Genomic DNA, 21,782 nt, shown 5'->3' with positions numbered 1-21,782 from the left:
TAATTTGCATTCCATCAGTAAAAACAGCTGGTCAGCTAGAATGCTTCCATAAATAAAGATGAGGCACATGGAACAAGTTTAGGATATAAATATTTGTCCTATGGAAAGTCACTCCACATCAGACCAAGAGTGTGTCATTTTTTTTTTTTTTTCCCCGAGACGGAGTCTCCCTCTGTCGCCCAGACTGGAGTGCAGTGGCACAATCTTGGCTCATTGCAACCTGTGCCTCCGGGTTAAGAAATTCTCTGCCTCAGCCTCCCGAGTAGCTAGGATTACAGGCGCCTGCCACCTCGTCGGGCTAAATTTTTGGTATTTTTAGTAGAGACGGGGTTTCACCATTTTGGGCAGGCTCGTCTTGAATTCCTGACCTTGTAATCCTCCCGCCTCAGCTTCCCAGAGTGCTGGGATTACAGGCGAGTGTGTCTCTTTTTTTATCCATCTCTGATTGTGTTACCAATGATCGTTTGGGAATTATTAGAATACAATAAAGCATTCTATACTCCTGAAATGTTTCATATTTTCATTTTGTTTCTTTTTTTTTTTTTTTTGAGACGTAGTCTTGCTCTGTCACCCAGGCTGGACTGGAGTGGCGCGATCTCGGCTCACTGCGAACTCCGCCATCTCGGCTCACTGCAAGCTCCGCCTCCCGGGTTCACGCCATTCTCCTGCCTCAGCCTCCCGAGTAGCTGGGACTACAGGTGCCCGCCACCACGCCCGGCTAATTTTTTGGTATTTTTAGTAGAGACGGGGTTTCATCGTGTTAGCCAGGATGGTCTCTATCTTCTGACCTAGTGATCTGCCTGCCTCTGCCTCCCAAAGTGCTGGGATTACAGGCGTGAGCCACCGCGCCCGGCCTCATATATTTATCTTTGCCATTGTTTCCACTGATGTATGTAAATTCAGATTTTTAATGTGAAATAACATGATGGAGCAAAGAGCTGTCAGCTTGTTTTGTGATGGTCATCAACAAAAGCCTAGCTCTGGCAAAGTGCTTTGGGGAAACTGTTTTATATTTTAGCCGTCAGTTTCTTTATCTGTAAAATAAACTCGGTGCCTTGAACACAGAGACACTCAATTATTTCTTGAAGAAGGAACAGGAGACAGGTGGAAGGAAGGTGTTAGAGTACAGGGTTAAGCTCCTTTTCTCCTCTAAAATTTACTGACTCTGATTTCTAAAACTTTGTCTTGGGTTTCAAATTGAAAGATTTGTGGATTTATTGATCAACTTTTTGTTTACCCTAACTAAGGATCCAGCTGCATTTAAGTGTAGTATTTCATGCCACAATCATGTTATAGGACTTAAAAAGATCAAAAATCAATTCTCGGCCGGGCGCGGTGGCTCACGCCTGTAATCCCAGAACTTTGGGAGGCCGAGGCGGACAGATCACGAGGTCAGGAGATCGAGACCATCCTGGCTAACATGGTGAAACCCCGTCTCTAGTAAAAATACAAAAAATTAGCCGGGCGAGGTGGTGGGCGCCTGTAGTCCCAGCTACGCGGGAGGCTGAGGCAGGAGAATGGCGGGAACCCCGCGGGGTGGAGCCTGCAGTGAGCCAAGATCGCGCCACTGCACTCCAGCCTGGGTGAAAGAGCGAGACTCCATCTAAAACAAAAAAAAAAATCAATTCTCACTGGTCACAGTGTTTGAAATTCTCAACGTGTTGAGCAACTAAGTCTATGAACATTTAAAGGCCCTCTTCAAATAAGAACCCTTCAGAGACACATACAAAGTACCATCAAACTAACTAATAATGTGGATAGGACTTCTAGTTAATATTCATTGGCACTCCTTACATACTCCCATTTCCAGTTTGCATTAGGGAAAGAATTTATTACTTCATGCTAATTTCATTTAAAAGCTTGAACTCGAGAAGCAACTTTCTTCAAAATAGAATTTGATACAGAATAAGTTTGAGGGTGATTCTGAGAGAATCCAGCCTCTCTGCCTAACAATCTAAGAATGGGCTGTCTTACAGACAGGGATGACAATGATTGAAAGATTTCAATTTCTTCTGATCTTTACACATGGAACTTCAAGAATTTGAATTGCTCTAGATTAAAAAAGGGGCACAGTCAACTATTTTCCAAATTTAATGAATCCTGTAGAGTTGAAACTTAGCAAAAGATTCTTTATAAAATATTATATACTGTCCTTTTGTCTGAATTATTCTAACACCAAGTACCAAAACCCTTTCTCTGGGCCTTCTGGATCTTTCCCAAATTGCACCTAAGAATTTGAATGTGTGAGCAGGAGCCCAGAGACCCCTCTCGTTAAATAGTTCCCTGAATACTGTGAGTGTGAAAAGCATTCTTTTGAAATGATTCAATTTCCCAATATAGTGGTTATGCTTCCAGATATAATTATGTATTAGCCAATGATATAACTTCTCTCAATTGTAATTATGTAGTCTCGTTACAAAACTGTCTGTACGATATAGGAAATGAGTGATTAAACTTTTATTCAGCAAAGTGTCATCATCAGATGTTGAAACAGGTGTCAGGATTATTCTCTGTTGGTATTTTGCTTGGTACCTGGACTATTAATCTTTGTATGAAAGTGGGGATGATATACTGTGTCAGCCTGAAATCCTTTGTATTTTGTGGGTTTTCATGACATTTAATGTAATAAATAACTACCCTTGGGTCATTAAAAACAAGAAGGTCAAGTTTTCCTTTTTTCCTGACACAACAGAGCCCTGATTAAGAATAAAGGCACAAGGTGATTTCTGCTGTGAAATCTCCTTTGGGTTGAGAGTGATATAAATGATTATTTTAAATGGAAACAGCAATGACAATAAGCCACTACTGATTTTATTTCATGTTGGCATATGCTAATAAAACTATTAAAATTTTCTCAGAATTATAATAATTGCACTCTGTCTTGTATAAGGGTAGAAATACATTTTTATTAGAAGGGATAAAGACTTATTTGAACCCAATCTAATGATTTTGTAAATACTACTAGTGCCTTAATTAGAATAAAGCATTATGATACTACACAGTACTCTCTGCATGTTGATATTTATGACTGAAATCCTCTTATTTAGCTTCTTTGCAATTTTATCATTATTTTTAAAATGTAATCATAATCACTTTATTTTGTTAAATTTTCGTGATTTTTTCCTGAAAATTTTAATAATTTGATTTCCACTAATCATTTTCTTATTTTCCTTGACCACCCTCTCTCTATTACCCCCTCTTCTCTCCCTCTCATTTTTATTTAAATGATTCACAATTTTCAAATAAAAATTTAAAAAAATTTGAGCTTATGTCAAAGTTTTATTTCAAAGTTTGCAAAAAGAGAGGGCTGAGCTGGCCATTTGAAATATTCTTTCTCGGTAAGGACAATTTCAAAGTAAAAAGATTGACCAGACAATTATTGGTATCTGGATACAAAAAAAAGAAAAAAGAAAACATCTAAAACATCTAGCTAAAGAACATAGATACTTGACTAATAACCAATAAATGGTTAGCTAATTTCAGAAGAAGCCTTACTTGTTGTGGGAAGTCAGGGACCCCGAACGGAGGGACTGGCTGAAGCCATGGCAGAAGAACATAAATTGTGAAGATTTCATGGACATTTATTAGTTCCCCAAATTAATACTTTTATAATTTCTTACGCCTGTCTTTACTGCAGTCTCTGAATATAAATTGTGAAGATTTCATGGATACTTATCACTTCCCCTATCAATACCCTTGTGATTTCCTATGCCTGTCTTTGGTTTAATCTCTTAATCCCATCATCTTCGTAAGCTAAGGGGGATGTATGTTGCCTCAGGACCTTGTGATGATTGCATTAACTGCACAAATTGTAGAGCATGTGTGTTTGAACAATATGAAATCTGGGCACCTTGAAAAAGGAACAGGATAACAGCATTGTTCAGGGAACAAGAGAGATAACCTTAAACTCTGACTGCCAGTGAGCCAGACAGAAAAGAGCCATATTTCTCTTCTTTCAAAAGCAAATGGGAGAAATATCGCTGAATTCTTTTTCTCAGCAAGGAACATCCCTGAGAAAGAGAATGCGTCCCTGAGGGTAGGCCTCTAAAATGGCTGCTTTGGGGGTGGCCATCTTTTATGGTTGAAGCTGTAGGGATGTAATAAGCCCCAGTCTCCAGTAGCGCTCCCAGGCTTATTAGGATGAGGAAATTCCCGCCTAATAAATTTTGGTCAGACTGGTTGTCTGCTCTCAAACCCTGTCTCCTGATAAGATGTTATCAATGACAATGTGTGCCCAAAACTTCATTAGCAATTTTAATTTTGCCCCGGTCCTGTGGTCCTGTGATCTCGCCCTGCCTCCATTTGCCTTGTGATATTCTATTACCTTGTGAAGCATGTGATCTCTGTGACCCACACTCCCTCCCCTTTTGAAAATCACTAATAAAAACTTGCTGGTTTTATGGCTCGGGGGGCATCACAGAACCTGCTGACATGTGATGTCTCCCCCGGACATCCAGCTTTAAAATTTCTCTCTTTTGTACTCTGTCCCTTTATTTCTCAGACCGGCTGACACTTAGAGAAAATAGAAAAGAATCTACATGAAATATCGGGGGTGAATTTCGCCCAATATCTGGCTGAATTTCCCCCAATATTAGTATTGTTGAACTTTATTAAAAATTGCTTGAGCATGTTATCAGCATTAAAATTTCTTCTTAAAAGAATGATGTGAGTTTCTGTGCTCAAAAAAGTTTTGTTCTCGATCAGATTGGGGACAATGTTTCTTAATAAATTACTACAGATAGAAGAGATTTAACTTTAAAGAAATTTTCAAATTAAACTTTATACTTATATCCCATTTGTTTATTTAAATCAGCTTTATTTACCTATAATTGACATATAATAAAGTGCATATACTTAAAGTGTACACTTTTATGTTTTGACACATGAATATACCCATGAAACCATCACTGCAGTTAAAATAATGAACGTATCCATCACCCTCACAAGTTTTCTTGTGTCTTTTAAGTTTTTCCTTCCTGTTTCCTCTCTGCGTCCTCAGGCGCAGAACTGCTATGATTACAGAATGGCTTTCTGTAATCATAATTAATTTGAATTTGTATTTTCTACTGTTTTATATACATGGAGTTGAAGAGTATACATTCTTTTTGGAGGGCTGCAGAAGAATCTGGCTTCTTTCATGCAGCATAATTATTTTGTGATTCATTGATGTATTGCATGCACCATTAGTTCATTCCTTTTTATTGTGCAGTATAATTCTGTTCCATGGATATAACACTATTTGTTTACCCACTCACATGTTGGTGGATGTTTGAGTAGTTTTCAGCTTTTGGAAAACTGCCAAAAAAGTTTCTAGGAACGACTGTGGACAAGTGTTTGTATGTCATATGTTCCATTTCTTGTGAGTAAATACCTAGAATTTGAATGGCTGGACTATATATTTGTGTATGCTTAACATTTTAAGCTGGATTATATAATTGTGTATCTTTAACATTTTAAGGAACATCAAACTACTCTTCAAAATGGTTGTGTCATATTACACTCCTACCAGCACTGTATAAAAGTTTAGCTTCCTCCACACCCTTGCCAACACTTGGTAAGATAAGCCTTTTTAATCTTATTTAATTTAATAGCTGTGTGGCAATATCTCGGGGTGTTTTTTATTTGCTGGAGAACTAATCACATTGAGCATCATTTCATGTGCTGATGTGCCATCCATGTAGCCTCTTTGGTGAAGTGTGAAATCAACTCTTTTACCTTTTTTTTTAAATTGGTTTGCTTTTATATGATTAAGTTTTGAGAGTTCTTTAGGTATTTTACACGAGTTTTTTATGTAACTTGCATATATTTTCCCCTGGTTTGTGGCTTTTCTTTTCATTTTCTTAAAATTGGTTTTCACAATGCAAAAACGTTTTAAATTGTAATTAAATCAAATTTATCAATTTTTTTAAATTTTTTCTTTAATAGTAAATTAATCTTAGCTTACCCTAATTTTTGTTTTGTTTTTTTTTATTATTATTATACTTTAACTTTTAGGGTCCATGTGCACAACATGCAGGTTAGTTATATATGTATACATGTGCCATGCTGGTGTGCTGCAACCATTAACTCATCATTTTGCATTAGGTATATATCCTAATGCTATCCCTCCCCCCTCCCGCCACCCCACAACAGTCCCCAGAGTGTGATGTTCCCCTTCCTGTGTCCATGTGTTCTCATTGTTCAATTCCCACCTATGAGTGAGAATATGCGGTGTTTGGTTTTTTGTACTTGTGATAGTTTACTGAGAATGAGGATTTCCAATTTCATCCATGTCCCTACAAAGGACATGAACTCATCATTTTTTATGGCTGCGTAGTATTCCATGGTGTATATGTGCCACATTTTCTTAATCCAGTCTATCTTCGTTGGACATTTGGGTTGCTTCCAACTCTTTGCTATTGTGAATAATGCCACAATAAACATACGTGTGCATGTGTCTTTATGGCAGCATGATTTACAGTCCTTTGGGTATATACCCAGTAATGGGATGGCTGGGTCAAATGGTATTTCTAGTTCTAGATCCCTGAGGAATTGCCACACTGACTTCCACAATGGTTGAACTAGTTTACAGTCCCACCAACAGTGTAAAAGTGTTCCTATTTCTCCACATCCTTTCCAGCACCTGCTGTTTCCTGACTTTTTAATGAATGCCATTCTAACTGGTGTGAGATGGTATCTCACTGTGGTTTTGATTTGCATTTCTCTGATGGCCAGTGATGGTGAGCATTTTTTCATGTGTTTTTTGGCTGCATAAATGTCTTCTTTTGAGAAGAGTCTGTTCATGTCCTTCACCCACTTTTTGATGGGGTTGTTTGTTTTTTTCTTGTAAATTTGTTTGAGTTCATTGTAGATTCTGGATATTAGCCCTTTGTCAGATGAGTAGGTTGCAAAAATTTTCTCCCATTTTGTAGGTTGCCTGTTCACTCTGATGGTAGTTTCTTTTGCTGTGCAGAAGCTCTTTAGTTTAATGAGATCCCGTTTGTCAATTTTGGCTTTTGTTGCCATTGCTTTTGGTGTTTTAGACATGAAGTCCTTGCCCATGCCTATGTCCTGAATGGTAACGCCTAGGTTTTCTTCTAGGGTTTTTATGGTTTTAGGTCTAACATTTAAGTCTTTAATCCATCTTGAATTAATTTTTGTATAAGGTGTAAGGAAGGGATCCAGTTTCAGCTTTCTACATATGGCTAGCCAGTTTTCCCAGCACCATTTATTAAATAGGGAATCCTTTCCCCATTGCTTGTTTTTCTCAGGTTTGTCAAAGATCAGATAGTTGTGGATATGCGGCATTATTTCTGAGGGCTCTGTTCTGTTCCATTGATCTATATCTCTGTTTTGGTACCAGTACCATGCTGTTTTGGTTACTGTAGCCTTGTAGTATACTTTGAAGTCAGGTAGCGTGATGCCTCCAGCTTTGTTCTTTTGGCTTAGGATTGACTTGGCGATGAGGGCTCTTTTTTGGTTCCATATGAACTTTAAAGTAGTTTTTTCCAATTCTGTGAAGAAAGTCATTGGTAGCTTGATGGGGATGGCATTGAATCTATAAATTACCTTGGGCAGTATGGCCATTTTCACGATATTGATTCTTCCTACCCATGAGCATGGAATGTTCTTCCATTTCTTTGTATCCTCCTTTGTTTCATTGAGCAGTGGTTTGTAGTTCTCCTTGAAGAGGTCCTTCACATCCCTTGTAAGTTGGATTTCTAGGTATTTTATTCTCTTTGAAGCAATTGTGAATAGGAGTTCACTCATGATTTGGCTCTCTGTTTGTCTGTTATTGGTGTATAAGAATGCTTGTCATTTTTGTACATTGATTTTGTATCCTGAGAATTTGCTGAAGTTGCTTATCAGCTTAAGGAGATTTTGGGCTGAGACAATGGGGTTTTCTAGATATACAATCATGTCATCTGCAAACAGGGACAATTTGACTTCCTCTTTTCCTAACTGAATACCCTTTATTTCCTTCTCCTGCCTAATTGCCCTGGCGAGAACTTCCAACACTGTGTTGAATAGGAGTGGTGAGAGAGGGCATCCCTGTCTTGTGCCAGTTTTCAAAGGGAATGCTTCCAGTTTTTGCCCATTCAATATGATATTGGTTGTGGGTTTGTCATAGATAGCTCTTATTGTTTTGAGATACGTCCCATCAATACCTAATTTATTGAGAGTTTTTAGCATGAAGGGTTGTTGAATTTTGTCAAAGGCCTTTTCTGCATATATTGAGATAATCATGTGGTTTTTGTCTTTGGTTCTGTTTATGTGCTGGATTACATTTATTGATTTACATATATTGAACCAGCCTTGCATCCCAGGGATGAAGCCCACTTGACCATGGTGGATAAGCTTTTTGATGTGTTGCTGGATTCGGTTTCCCAGTATTTTATTGAGGATTTTTGCATCAATGTTCATCAGGGATATTGATCTAAAATTCTCTTTTTTTGTTGTGTCTCTGCCGGGCTTTGGTATCAGAATGATGCTGGCCTCATAAAATGAGTTAGGGAGGATTCCCTCTTTTTCTATTGATTGGAATAGTTTCAGAAGGAATGGTACCAGTTCCTCCTTGTACCTCTGGTAGAATTCGGCTGTGAATCCATCTGGTCCTGGACTCTTTTTGGTTGGTAAGCTATTGATTATTGCCACAATTTCAGACCTTGTTATTGGTCTATTCAGAGATTCAACTTGTTCGTGGTTTAATCTTGGGAAGGTGTATGTGTCAAGGAATTTATCCATTTCTTCTACATTTTCTAGTTTATTTGCGTAGAGGTGTTTGTAGTATTCTCTGATGGTAGTTTGTATTTCTGTGGGATCAGTGGTGATATCCCCTTTATCATTTTTTATTGCGTCTATTTGATTCTTCTCTCTTTTCTTCTTTGTTAGTCTTGCTAGCGGTCTATCAATTTTGTTGATCCTTTCAAAAAACCAGCTCCTGGATTCATTAGTTTTTTGAAGGGTTTTTTGTGTCTCTATTTCCTTCAGTTCTGCTCTGATTTTAGTTATTTCTTGCCTTCTGCTAGCTTTTGAATGTGTTTGCTCTTGCTTTTCTAGTTCTTTTAATTGTGATGTTAGGGTGTCAGTTTTGGATCTTTCCTGCTTTCTCTTGTGGGCATTTAGTGCTATAAATTTCCCTCTACACACTGTTTTGACTGTGTCCCAGAGATTCTGGTACGTTGTGTCTTTGTTCTCGTAGGTTTCAAAGAACATCCTTATTTCTGCCTTCATTTCTTCCTTCCTCCATTGTCTTTTTTCTTCCTCCCTTCCATCCTTCTTTCCTTTCCTTTTCACCTTCTTCATTTCAACAAATATTTAAACATGTTTTAAGTTCTATGCAATATGCTAGGCTCAGAGGACAAGGCAAGACACTTAGTTCATGTTCAAGTATTGCTCATAGTCTAGTAGTGTGAACGGGGAAGTAAACCAACAGATTATGGAAGAAGAGTAGAGGTGCAACCTACATTGAACGTGTCAGGACATGTCAGCTTTGAGTAGAAAATAATTCATAAATTGATCCTGATTGGTTTGGCTTGGCCTGGTCAACTTAGAACTCACAAACAAAATATAATTATCATTAGGCAGTTTCCAAATACTTCATATACTCTGAGTTTTCTATGATTTAGAGAGAGATCTTTTAAATTCTCAAAGCTCACAAACTGGAATGCCTCAGAGTCAAGTGTATCTCTTAAATGTAAATATAGTGTGGCTGACTTTGACAAGGAGCCAGAGAAATTAAAGACCAGATGAATGAATGAACGCCACATTCATGGGTTAGAAAACCCATTATTGTTGATGTCAATTTACCCCAAACTGACTAATCACAATCCCAACAGAATTTTTTAAAGAAATTACATACGGATTCTAATTTTTCTGAGCAATGTTTTATAGCTCTCAGTGTACAGATCTTGTATGTACGTTGTGAAAGAGTCATCCCCATGTATTTCATTTAATTTTATATTATTGGGAACTTTTTTGTGTAAATTTCAATGTCTAATGTTTTGTTGCTAGACTATAAAAATACAATTGGTTTTTGTATGTAATTTTTCTATTCTGTAGCCTTACTAAATCCACATATTAATCAGTTCTGGTACTTTTTGTGTAGATTCCAATAGATTTTTACTTAGACAATCATCTGCAAATAAAGGCAGTTTTAACATTTTTCTTTCTAATTTGGATGCCTTTTATTTCTTGCCGTACTGAACTGGATAGAACCTCCACTACAATGTTGAACAGAAGTGATGGGAGCTGACATCCTTGCCTTTTCCTGATCTTAATAAGAAAGCATTCAGACTTTCATCAAGTATAATATTAGCTCCAGGTTTTTGCAGATATCCTTCATCAGGTTGAAGAAATTTCTTTCTAGTCCCAGTTTGTTTAAAGTTTTTATGAGGAATTGATGTTGAATTTTGTCAAATGCTTTTTGTATGTCAATTGAGATGATCATATGGTTTTTATTTTTTAGTTTATTAGTATGGTTAATATGGTTACATCAACTGCTTTTGTATGAAGCAAATCTCTTTTAATTTAATGTATCTTTATTGTAAAGTTGCTCTGGCTATTCCATTTTATCTGCAAGTCATTTGCCAAATTCTTCCTAGAACATTGATAAGTAATAGAATTAAAGTATTTTCTAAAATAACTGATAAAGACTTTACATCTTATTGCTAACTTTACTAGAGGCATTATAACCTCAGCTACAGTTTATTTATTCAAATTTTGTTTTTCATGCTTTATTTTTTGTTATTCTCTTCGACATACTCCATGCTACTTTGAGTTAGTCTCTGAGCTGGGTGCCAGTAGGTTTTCTATTAATTTGAATTGTTTGGTAAAGTTTCTAATATAGTTAAACATAGATCTAAACAAATACCTAAAAGTAAACTTCCAAGAGAAATGAAAACATATATCCACAAAAAGACTTATATAAATGTGTGTACTGTATAATTCCATTTATATAAAGCTCAAGAACAGGTGAAACAAATCTTTTAAAACCAGAATACTAATTGCCTGTGAGAGGTGTGTGTTGAAAGGAAGAGATATGAGGAAGCTTTCTGGGGTGCAGAAATATTCTATATCCTGATTTAAGTGTTGGTTTCAGGGATATACTGATTTCTTAAAACTGATCCAAGTGTATACATAAAATCTTATGTTTCACTCTCTGTAAATTGTACAACATTTAATTACATATATATACATATCATGTATATATTTATAAATCAGTATATGTGTATATAATGTAATTATACAAATTATACATATATGTAGCTATTTAATTCTATGCCAGGTGAAGTATATTTTTAGAATTATACATTTTATATATATATATACATTTTAAATTTTTTAATTATTTAAAATTTTCAAAGAACAAATTTCTGTATCAGTAAGGATTTTTTGTTATAAATATTAGAAAATGACTCTGGCTGTCATAAGCAGAAAAAGAATTCATCAGAAGGAGATCCACATCTCACAAAACAGGCATATGGAGAGGAATAAAGAAGCTTGTGCACCTAGATCATATTGCAGGGAAACCCAGTGCTTTAGCTATCATTGTTATGCATCTATCCTTATAAATGTCTGTATAATGTAAATATATATGTACACATACACACACATACACAGGTGATCCTTAAACAACACAGGTTTGAACTGCTTGTGTCCACTTACATGTGGATTTTTGTCAGTAAAAGTTATACCCAGTGTGTTGGTTCTCCTGCCTCCTTTTCTATCTCCTTTACCTCTTCCTCTTCTGCCACCCCAGAGACAGCAAGACCAACCCTTTCCCTTCCTCCTCCTTAGCCTACTCAACATGAAGACAATGAAGATGAAGACCTTTATGATAACCCATAAAGGTATTTATTATAAAGAGTAAATACCTTTTTCTTCCTCATGGTTTACTTAATAACATTTTCTTTTCTTTAGCTTAATTTATTGTAAGATTACAGTATTTAATAAATAGAGCACACAAAACACGTGTTAATCTACTGTTATGTTACAGTAAGGCTTCCAGTCAAGAGTAGACTGCTAGTAGTTAAGTTTTGGGGGAGTCAAATATTGTACACAAATTTTCAACTGCATGAGGATGTTGGTGTTCCTAATCCACATGTTGTTCAGGGGTCAATTTTATATATAACTACAGTTTAAAAAACCTTTGTGTCACTCCCTCAAGCTTTCATATTTAGGTCATGTTAGTTGAGTTAGGTCACATCCAAGCCCCTCTCATTCCCAGGCTGCAGTAGAAAGAAGGTCTTTCCTTCCCTCCAAGATTATCCTCAGCAACAACTTCCTAATAAAAATCAGAGAATTAGTAGAAAGAGGAGCATGTTGGTTTATGGAAAGCCTAAATGAAAACAAAAACAAATAAAATCATATTCACACACATATATACACAAGCTGTCCATGACATTGTCTCTCTTGTATTTTGTCTGTATATACCTGATATTGGGATAAAGTGGAATATAGTGTTTAGGGGAAGGAACTATTAGAAATAGAGAAAGAAATGGGTTGATCTGGCTTTATTCTTGATGTGGGAAATCAAAAGCAAATTGATAGGACAAATGACATACAGAGCATTTATTGTGCTAGAAAGCGTAAGACCTATACAATTAACAAGTCACAAGTTTAAATCTTAATTCTCCCTTGTAACTTTTTGACCTTAAGCAAGCTACTTATCTTTTCTGACCCCATGCTTTTCAATTGCAAAATGGAAGTAGTACCTGTCTCCCAGGTTTTTTATGAAGATTAAATGAGAACATGTATGTAAAGCATACAATGTGACACACTAATTCTCAATGGTCACTTGCCAAATACTTATTATTTTCCCATCTCTCTTCTTTAGAATATTGTGTTACTTTTGATTCATCCCTACTACCATCACCCTGCTGAAAGGGGTTATAATATATATATTTGAGACAGGTTCTCACTCAGTTGCCCAGGTTGGAGTACAGTGGTGTGATCAGGGCTAACTACAGCCACAACTTCCTGGGTTCAGGTGATCCTCCCAACTCAGCCTCCTGAGTAGCTGGGACAACAGGTGTGTGCCACCAGGCCTAGCTACTTTTTTGTAGGGAGAGGGTTTCACCATGTTGCCCAGGCTGATCTCGAACTCCTGAGCTCAAGTAATCCACCTGTCTTGGCCTCCCAAAATGCTGGGATTAAAGGTGTGAGCCATTGCTCCCAGCCTAAAAGGGGTTGTATATCTCAAATATGCTAACTACATCCCATCAGGAAATGGTACTGCTGTCAAACTAATGCAGTGGCACTGTTCTTGAGGGTGGTTATATAGAGAGATGACAGTTTCTTCTTCATGAAATGTAAGTCCTGGTGAGACCACTTACCCTCCATCATTTCTTGTTTCCCATTTTAGGCACAGTCTGCCTTACACCAATAAAAACTTGATTGCATTAGCTTGTTTATATGGCTGCTTTGTAGTGACACTGGTCTGTGTATTTACTGTGTTTTTATATTAGCTGCTAGAGGTCTTTCCTTTCTACATTTAGTGCTCCTTTCAAGATATCTTATAAGGCAGGTCTGGTGGTAAGGAACTCCCTCTATATTTGCTTATCTGGAAATGATCTTATTTCTCCTTCACAGAGGAAGCTTAGTTTGGCTGGACATAGAATTCTTGGTTGAAGATTTTTTCTTTAAGAATGTTGAATATAGGCCCCCAATCTCTTCTGGCTTGTAGGATTTCAGCTGAGAGGTCCATGGTTAGCCTGATGGGGTCTCCTTTGTAGGTGACCTGCCTTTTCTTTCTAGCTGCCTTTAACATTCTGTATTTCATTTAGACCTTGGAAAACCTGATGATTATGTATTTTAGGGATGATCTTCTTGTGTAGAATTGAAAGGCCATTTCTCACTTTATGCAATTCATGGAAGAATCATTTTCCCCCAAAATAGGCTATCTGAAACTCAAAGAGAAATAAATGTTTTACATTAAAAGTTGTGGGAAAATGCTGGAAAAATTAAAAAATGGCTTTGTTCTAGAAGAGTTCTTAAACATGAGTGTGTCTAAGTGTAATCTAGGGAAGTGTCATCTTCAGAATCTCCAGTCTCACTCTAGACATGGTGATTCATTAATTCTGGGGCATTGCCCAAGAACCCACATTATCAACAACACTCTCATAATTTTGATGAGCTAATTCAGAAGTTGTTTTTTCCCCACTAGAAAGGATTTCTAGGGAGAAGTTTCTGTTTTTTTTGTTTTTTTTTTTTTAACTTGTCATGGATTTTGCCAAAGGCAGTGGAAATGGGACCTATACTATATCTAGAGAGCAGTGGATGGTGACTCCTCAATAGTTACAAAGGAGGATCTCAAACTGGTGGCCAAGGACCAAAACCAGTCCAAAAATGTGTTCTTTCTGGCAAAATGGTGTTTCAAATGTTGTTTGTAATATCCTTAGTCTAAGCTTACTTTCTCCAGCTCACCATTTGTGGCTCTCTGGCTCCTTGTCAAAGTCAGCCACACTATATTTACATTTAAGAGATACACTTGGCTCTGAGGCATTCCAGTTTGTGAGCTTTGAGAATTTAAAAGATCTCTCTCTAAATCATAGAAAACTCAGAGTATATGAAGTATTTGGAAACTGCCTAATGATAATTATATTTTGTTTGTGAGTTCTAAGTTGACCAGGCCAAGCCAAACCAATCAGGATCAATTTATGAATTATTTTCTACTCAAAGCTGACATGTTCTGACATGTTCAATGTAGGTTGCACCTCTACTCTTCTTCCATAATTTGTTGGTTTACTTCCCCGTTCACACTACTAGACTATGAGCAATACTTGAACACGAACTAAGTGTCTTGCCTTGTCCTCTGAGCCTAGCATATTGCATAGAACTTAAAACATGTTTAAATATTTGTTGAAATGAAGAAGGTGAAAAGGAAAGGAAAGAAGGATGGAAGGGAGGAAGAAAAAAGACAATGGAGGAAGGAAGAAAAGGTAGAAAGAAGAAAGCAGGCAGGAAGGGATAAAACACTCAGGAAAGGAAGGAAAAAGGACAGAGGCAAGTTTCAACTGTGGAAAATGTGGGAATGTGACAAATGGATGCCTCATTTTGAGAAAATGAAAACAAGAATGTGGCCTATTTTAATTGGTAAAGTTTCTAGATCATAATCAAATTCAGAATTAGGCATCTTTGAGCGAAGACAAAAACAAAGAGAATTGTGCTTGAGTATCAGGCCCTGCGTTCTCAGTGATTGATAGCGTTACCTTAGATCTTGCTTTATGTCACTTGAAGGGCTTCCTGCTGGGTTCTGAAATGAAAATGATATCAAATGAGTATTTTGCAAGATTATTTGCAGCTTGTGATTACTAATAATGTAGCTACACATACAAAATGTTCATCAGCAAAACACTGATGTGCTATTCATACTTTAATCTAATCAGGGGTTTTGTCATAGTCTATCAACACAGTCTTCTCTTTGTGTCTTTGTTTTTTTTTTTTTTTTTCCATTAGAAAAATGAGAGAGAGAAAGGTCATCTGTTGCTTTCAAAATTAAATTCATTTAAAACTGTGTATCTCAAAATCCTGTTATTTTGTTTGTTGGCTTTGGTATCTTCTTTATGAAATAAAACCTACCAGAAACACCATTTACAAAAAAAATCAAGTGAATTGGAAATCTATAAAGTTGTTTGGACACCATGCTGAGTAAGCTGGGTAAGAAAGTGGTGTATTGGAAAGACAGGAGTATCATGGGTTTAAATGCTTTTCCAGACCCTATTGAGATCTGAGTAGCCTCTAATATGTCACTTTACTTCCCTGGGACTAAGTTTTTCATCTATAAATTGAGTGAATCTTTCAGATTCAGTCTCTAGGAACTTATCATTAATTGAGTTAATACGGTACAGCACTATCAATTAACTGCATTGAAATCACAGCTCCATTTTTCAAAGGCTCTATATCCTTGGGTGAGTAACTTAAACTTTCTGATTCTTATTTTAATCACCATAAAGTGGGCATTATTATAGTATAAACTTCTCATAATTTGGGAGACAATTAAAAAGAAACTACATATAAAATAGATAGCAACAACATTTACAAGTATTAGTGGTAGTTGTTAATGACCTCTGCCTACTGAGAAATACTTTCTGACCTTTTCATCAGACTAAATGAATAGAAAAAAAAAATTAGAAGCAATAATTTTGTGAATAATAAATGGCCAAACCTACCCTTTCCCTAAAATTACTGACAGAAAAGGCTAAATTTGACATTTTTAAGGTAGAAAGCCTCATAATTTTGATTATTTATAATCTCTCTGTTTTTACATTCTTGATTATTATATTCTCTGTGTTAGTATGGGAAAATGAGTGACTTAGACACAAAGCTTCCAGAATATATCAAGATCAAGCAATCATTTAACAAATGCATTGAACTCACTGAATGCTGAGTACTCTTATAGTTCTGTTGGCCACCTAGAGGGTTATGCAACATGTCTCCACGGGGAAGATGAAGCTGAGATAACGTATAAAAAACAACTTGTCAACAAGTGCAAATCAATAGCCTATAAAATGAGTGCCTAAGTGCTAAGGGGATCCTTTGAAAAGCTTTCTTCAAAGCAATAAGGTATACTAAAAGGGTAGTAGTGTTGTGCATAAGGAAAGACAAAGAATACCAAAATTCAACTGGCACTTAGGGCCAGGCCAACAAACAGGAAAACAGCGTTTGTACATGTTAGAATTTCTTCTCCTTTGTTTTCCAAATGTTATTTTGGTCTTGTTTTGTTTTAAATTAATGTACAACAGTGATTTATCAATCACTTCTGTATGCCATGCCCCTATCTGGAACCTGTTTGCACATTGTCAAAAATTCATTTTAGAACATTTAAGTCAACATTAATGAGGTGTAATTTACATACAAGAAAATACATTCATTCTGATTTTTTTTTTTTTTTTGAGACAGAGTTTTGCTCTTGTTGCCCAGGCTGGAGTGCAATGGCACAATCTCGGCTCACCACAACCTCTGCCTCCCAGGTTCAAGCAATTCTCCTGCCTCAGCCTCCCGAGTAGCTGGGATTACAGGCATGCACCACCACTCCCAGCTAATTTTGTATTTTTTTCTTTCTTTTTTTTTTTTTTTGGTAGAGACAGGATTTCACCATGTTGGGCAGGATGGTTTCGATCTCTTGACCTCGTGATCCACCCCTCAGCCTCCCAAAGTGCTGGGATTACAGGTGTGAGCCACTGCGCCCAGCCCCAAATTCATTTTTAAAAGAATAAGTTTCTCAAAAAAATGAAAGCATTAAAGAAAATATCTTGTTATCATACTATGCATCCCAGTAATAGCAGAGTTTCAAAACATAAAATAATTAAATCCTTTGGAAATCATATTGATTTTAGTAAAAAAAAGTCACCTACTATCTAAGAGCATTTTAAATAATAATTATGCCTACCTTTTGTTTTCATTGTATTCTCATTAATAACATATTTGGAGAGAGATAAGTGAAAAATTATTTGAAGCGTGTTTTTTCATAATGAAAGTTGGTGACAGGATACAGTTTCAAACCAATGTCATGGAATTGGTACTTCTTATGACCCCTCATAGACTTCTCTTCAAGGAGAATACATGCATTTAATTTTGTATCTCCTTTTAGAGAAAACAAATAGAATAATCATACAAAAATTGTGTAAAGCAACTTATACAATAGCATCTTCCCCTACCCCCGCACACACAAAAGTCTGTTAACTTGGATGTGATGCAGAGCACACAGGATTGTACTGTAATTCCTTACACAACAGTTGGAAGGCAGTGACTCTTGTGTTTGATGCCGTAGATGTTATTGTACTATCAAAACCTAATTGGTTGGATTATCTGATTCATTTTAACTCAGCTACATGAGGTTGTGGAAGAAGATATAAGAGTGACACAAAGCTATCACATCCAATAACAACCTCACAAGCATTAGCTATGTGAATTGATCCTTCTATATTGTAGATTTTCCCTTGGCCTATAGTGCTCTACTCACTGACAAACCTCATGAATTTCCCAGCTCTGGTCACATAGCAGATTGTTCATAAGGTAAGGCTAATCATCTTGATTGGATGTAATATTGCTGCCTTTCTTGGTTACAAGAAAATGTTAAACAGAATAGAATCAGTGATAATCTTTTCATGAAGAGAACTTATGTCTTTTTGCTTTGTACCTGTAGCACCAAATCCCATGCCTGGCACAACAGAGGTGCTCAAATAAAATGTGTGGAATGAATAAGAGGGCTAATAAATAAATAAATGAACAAAAGTTAGTGGAAAATCATCACTGCTGAAAAGAAAATACACAAAACTTACCCCTTCTGAGGAGGGATCAATAGCATCATTTCTGTGTAATAAAATATAGCCATTTTATAAAGCAAGTAGTTATACTGACTTATTTTCACTTTTTTTATAATAAGTGGCAGAACCAAAGTATGAGAAGTGGCGCTAAGTCACTGATGAGTGCTTCCAAAGCAAGTAGCTTTCAAAAATTTCTCACTTCAAACCCAGTTTGGAAGCTTAGAAATTATGTTTATAAACTCTTCCCTGTCATCTGGTCCACTAGTATACGGCTTCTTTTAATATCCTTCATGGCTGCCAAAAGACCAAAAAAGGTTTATCATTCATGAAAACAGGTTTGTTTTATAAAATAAGTGATATGATAATTTCCAGAAGATCTTCAAAGAAGATAGGAAGTAGAAAAAAATGTTGGCATGAATAAAAACAGTTTGCATCTAGAAGTTGACTGAGGTTATAGGTTAATAAGTACCACAACTTGGATCAATAAATACAAAAATTTTAGACGTGTGTGTGTTGAGGGGGTGTGGATATTTATGGGTATCTAATAGCATCAACATAACGCTCCTGCTTTGAATTGCAGTATTGTCATTTAGTGTCACATATACACCTCTTTGTTTAAGGAATTATTTTGAAGTGCTGCATTCTAGTGCAAGGCATGTGTTCCACTTGAACCCTTTGTCATCTTAGCATTGTGGCTGAAATGGTGTAATAGGATATCATACTGTTGTGCCTTTTAACAAAGTCTCCACACTGACTTCTGGGAATCCGTGAAGCTCTAATCACAGGTGCATGAGGATTTATTATTTTGTTGCTTGTTAAAATCAGTTTTTGCACCTGTGTCCATGAATCTTCAGAACGTAGTTATTCACAAGTCCCCCTACAGACTTAGAATAACCTCTAAGCCCTTTCTGTGCACTACGTAGAAAATAATAGTAATAAATTTGCTTCTGTATATGTATTACTAAATATGGTTGTTATAGTTATAAAAAATCTAATAGTTTTTAAGAGCTACCCTGGGAAGACCAGTGAGCATTTCTGTTCATTAATATCATCCTGATCGTCTATTGAAGTGTTGTTTATGTGTCAGATAACAGTCCAATAAAGGTTACTGATTATACATAGGTTTTCTCTGTATGAATAAAAGTCAAACATGCTAATTAAGTTTAAATGCCATATTTATTCATGGACATAAACAACTGAATCATTAAATACGTGGTACATTGCCCCCAAATTAGCTGTCTAATTACTTTCTTGAGTCTGGTCATTCCTTTGTGTACCCACTCTGGCTACAATGCATTTACATTGGTTACTCTCTTACAGTACTGTCTTACTGTCATACAGTCTGTATGTTGATATCAATAATGGTGGCTGCTGAATTTGCAACACCTTACATATGTCCCTCAAAGTTGTTTCTCACACATTATCCTAGAAAGGTGACCCAACATTTATACAGGGAATGTTCACATTGACTGGAGCATCAGAAATCACAAAGGAAATTGTCCTTGATCCACAATCTTGTGGATTTCGCTCTAACTGCTCATGGGTTTTGCCCTATTGCATCCCATTGCCCAGTTACCCTGAGAATATTATGGGTAAAGTAGAAGAATACTCTGAGTACCCCAACTGGTCACCTACCTGAAGAAGAGGCGGTACATACTATATAGGATGTGTGAGTTTTAATATCAATAATGTTCATTAATAACTGATGGCTTGAGTAGATCAATAACAACATGCAGAGGGACATGCACTTGGAAAAAACACCTTTTGTAGCACATAAACTTCAGTCTTCCAGTTTTAATGTTTATCAGCATCTTGAGAAGCATTTATAGTCCCTCACACACTCCTTTATGATTCCCTTATTGATTAAGTTGTGATGCCTCCTGGACCTAGGACACGGTTCACTATTTTTCAATTAAAATGGAGAAATATCTTGTTTGTTGCAGGTTCGTTTCAAGCAGTTGGCTTGTGGGACTCTGAGAGATGCTGCTGCCCATGACATGCGGGAATTATCATGATCAACTACCCAGCTTGGATTTCACCCAGTGGCCAAGAGCTTTGTGTGGGAGACGGCAAGGGTTGGATTTTTCAAAAGAGTAAACCAGGTAAGGTTCGAGGGAGACATCTGATCATTTATTACTTGCTCTAAGGGCTTCAGTATGCTGCCAAAATATATGAATAATGTATAGCTTTTCTATTTGTTTTCTAAGTCCACAGAGCAGGTTGTTAAAGAATGGGGCTCCCTTGGATTTAGGAGAATGCATATAGTAATAATTGAGTCCCTTTACTCTCAAGAGGAGAAAGGAGCTATTTTAAGATACACATAATGCAGGCATATGAATACTGTAGAGGCCAATACTATAAAGATTTCCTCTTTAAGCTACTATTCTGAACTCTAATGGCATAAACAGTTGTACTTTTGAAGGTGCATTAGAGAAAGTGTTGCCGTTAAGTATTTATATTTTACACAATATAGAAGTGAATATCAGTTCATGGCATATGATCTTATAAATGTGCTTCAAGGTTACTCCAATTCAGAAGATTATACCATTGTTCTTCTTTTATTTCTTTGAAAGTATTTATCATTCCAAATCTATTCACCTGTTATTTAAGATGGTGATACAATGACATACTGTATTATTTTGGCTCTGAGGATTTAAAACATTGCACTCTTATTCAAGTACTCTTTTATCTCCTTTTTCTATTACATGCTGGAAACTCTTCCCAACTGTTAACCATATTTTGGTCAGATCTTCTTATCTCTCTCTTTAACTCGCTTCCTCCCCTACAACATAAATTAAATATGTTGTCCATAATTACCTGAAGAAACTACAAGCTATTATTGTCTTCTGACTCTAAGACTGTCGAAATTTTAACAGTTTATTTGAATTTTCTGCATTGCAAAGCAAGCTTTTCTTTAAGTTCAAGTATAGAAACGGAAAAAAGTATGTAAAATTCCTTTATTTAGAAAGCAATGGATGGAGATTATTCTATGTCACTAATGCTTGAGCACCTTAAGCTTTTTACAAATATAGCTTTCATACTTTCTGAAAATAAAGTAAACGGAACTCAGTCAGTAAATTATAGCCTGACATAATTATTTGGATATAAATAAAGACTTCTGAAGTGTTTGAAAACAATCTTTTAAAGTTTAATAAACATTAACTTTCAATTCCCTAATGACTTATTTGCATATAAGATGATATCATGAGAGTATAAAACCCAAATATCTACAAATTTAAAAATTTTTTGAAATAGTGTAGATTACCAATCTCATGGCAGAAATGTTTATTTGATGAACTGAGCTGGTGAATAATTTTTTTGTCTTGCTTAGTGGCAAAGTGGATTACTCACATTTAGAAGACTTCTGACAGTCTGTAAATGAAAGGGACATCAAAACACAGCATACATTAGTAGAAGAAAGTGAAACCGAGTTCTATGCTTCATAGCATTGGCATCTAACACATAACTGTAGCGAAAATACTTTGGGATAGACTTCCATAGTCTTATACCTTTAAGTCTTAGAGTTAATCCTAA

The 21,782-nt window shown here is 36.2% G+C and overlaps 1 protein-coding gene across 14 annotated transcripts in view; it reads left to right on the top strand.

The window, feature by feature from the left end:
* Positions 1 to 21,782, top strand: part of LINGO2 (leucine rich repeat and Ig domain containing 2) — a 1,275,985-nt gene that overhangs the window by 898,044 nt on the left and 356,159 nt on the right. For all 14 annotated transcript variants that reach the window (NM_001354574.2, NM_001258282.3, XM_047422814.1 and 11 more), the window contains one exon: positions 20,192 to 20,350. The gene's annotated coding sequence lies outside the window, so the exon portion shown is untranslated. The remainder of the gene's footprint in view (positions 1 to 20,191; positions 20,351 to 21,782) is intronic.

Source organism: Homo sapiens, chromosome 9, assembly GCF_000001405.40.
Source record: "Homo sapiens chromosome 9, GRCh38.p14 Primary Assembly".
Lineage (NCBI taxonomy): Eukaryota > Metazoa > Chordata > Mammalia > Primates > Hominidae > Homo > Homo sapiens.
Note: the sequence above shows the minus strand (reverse complement) of the source record. Positions and strands in the feature narration are given on the sequence as shown.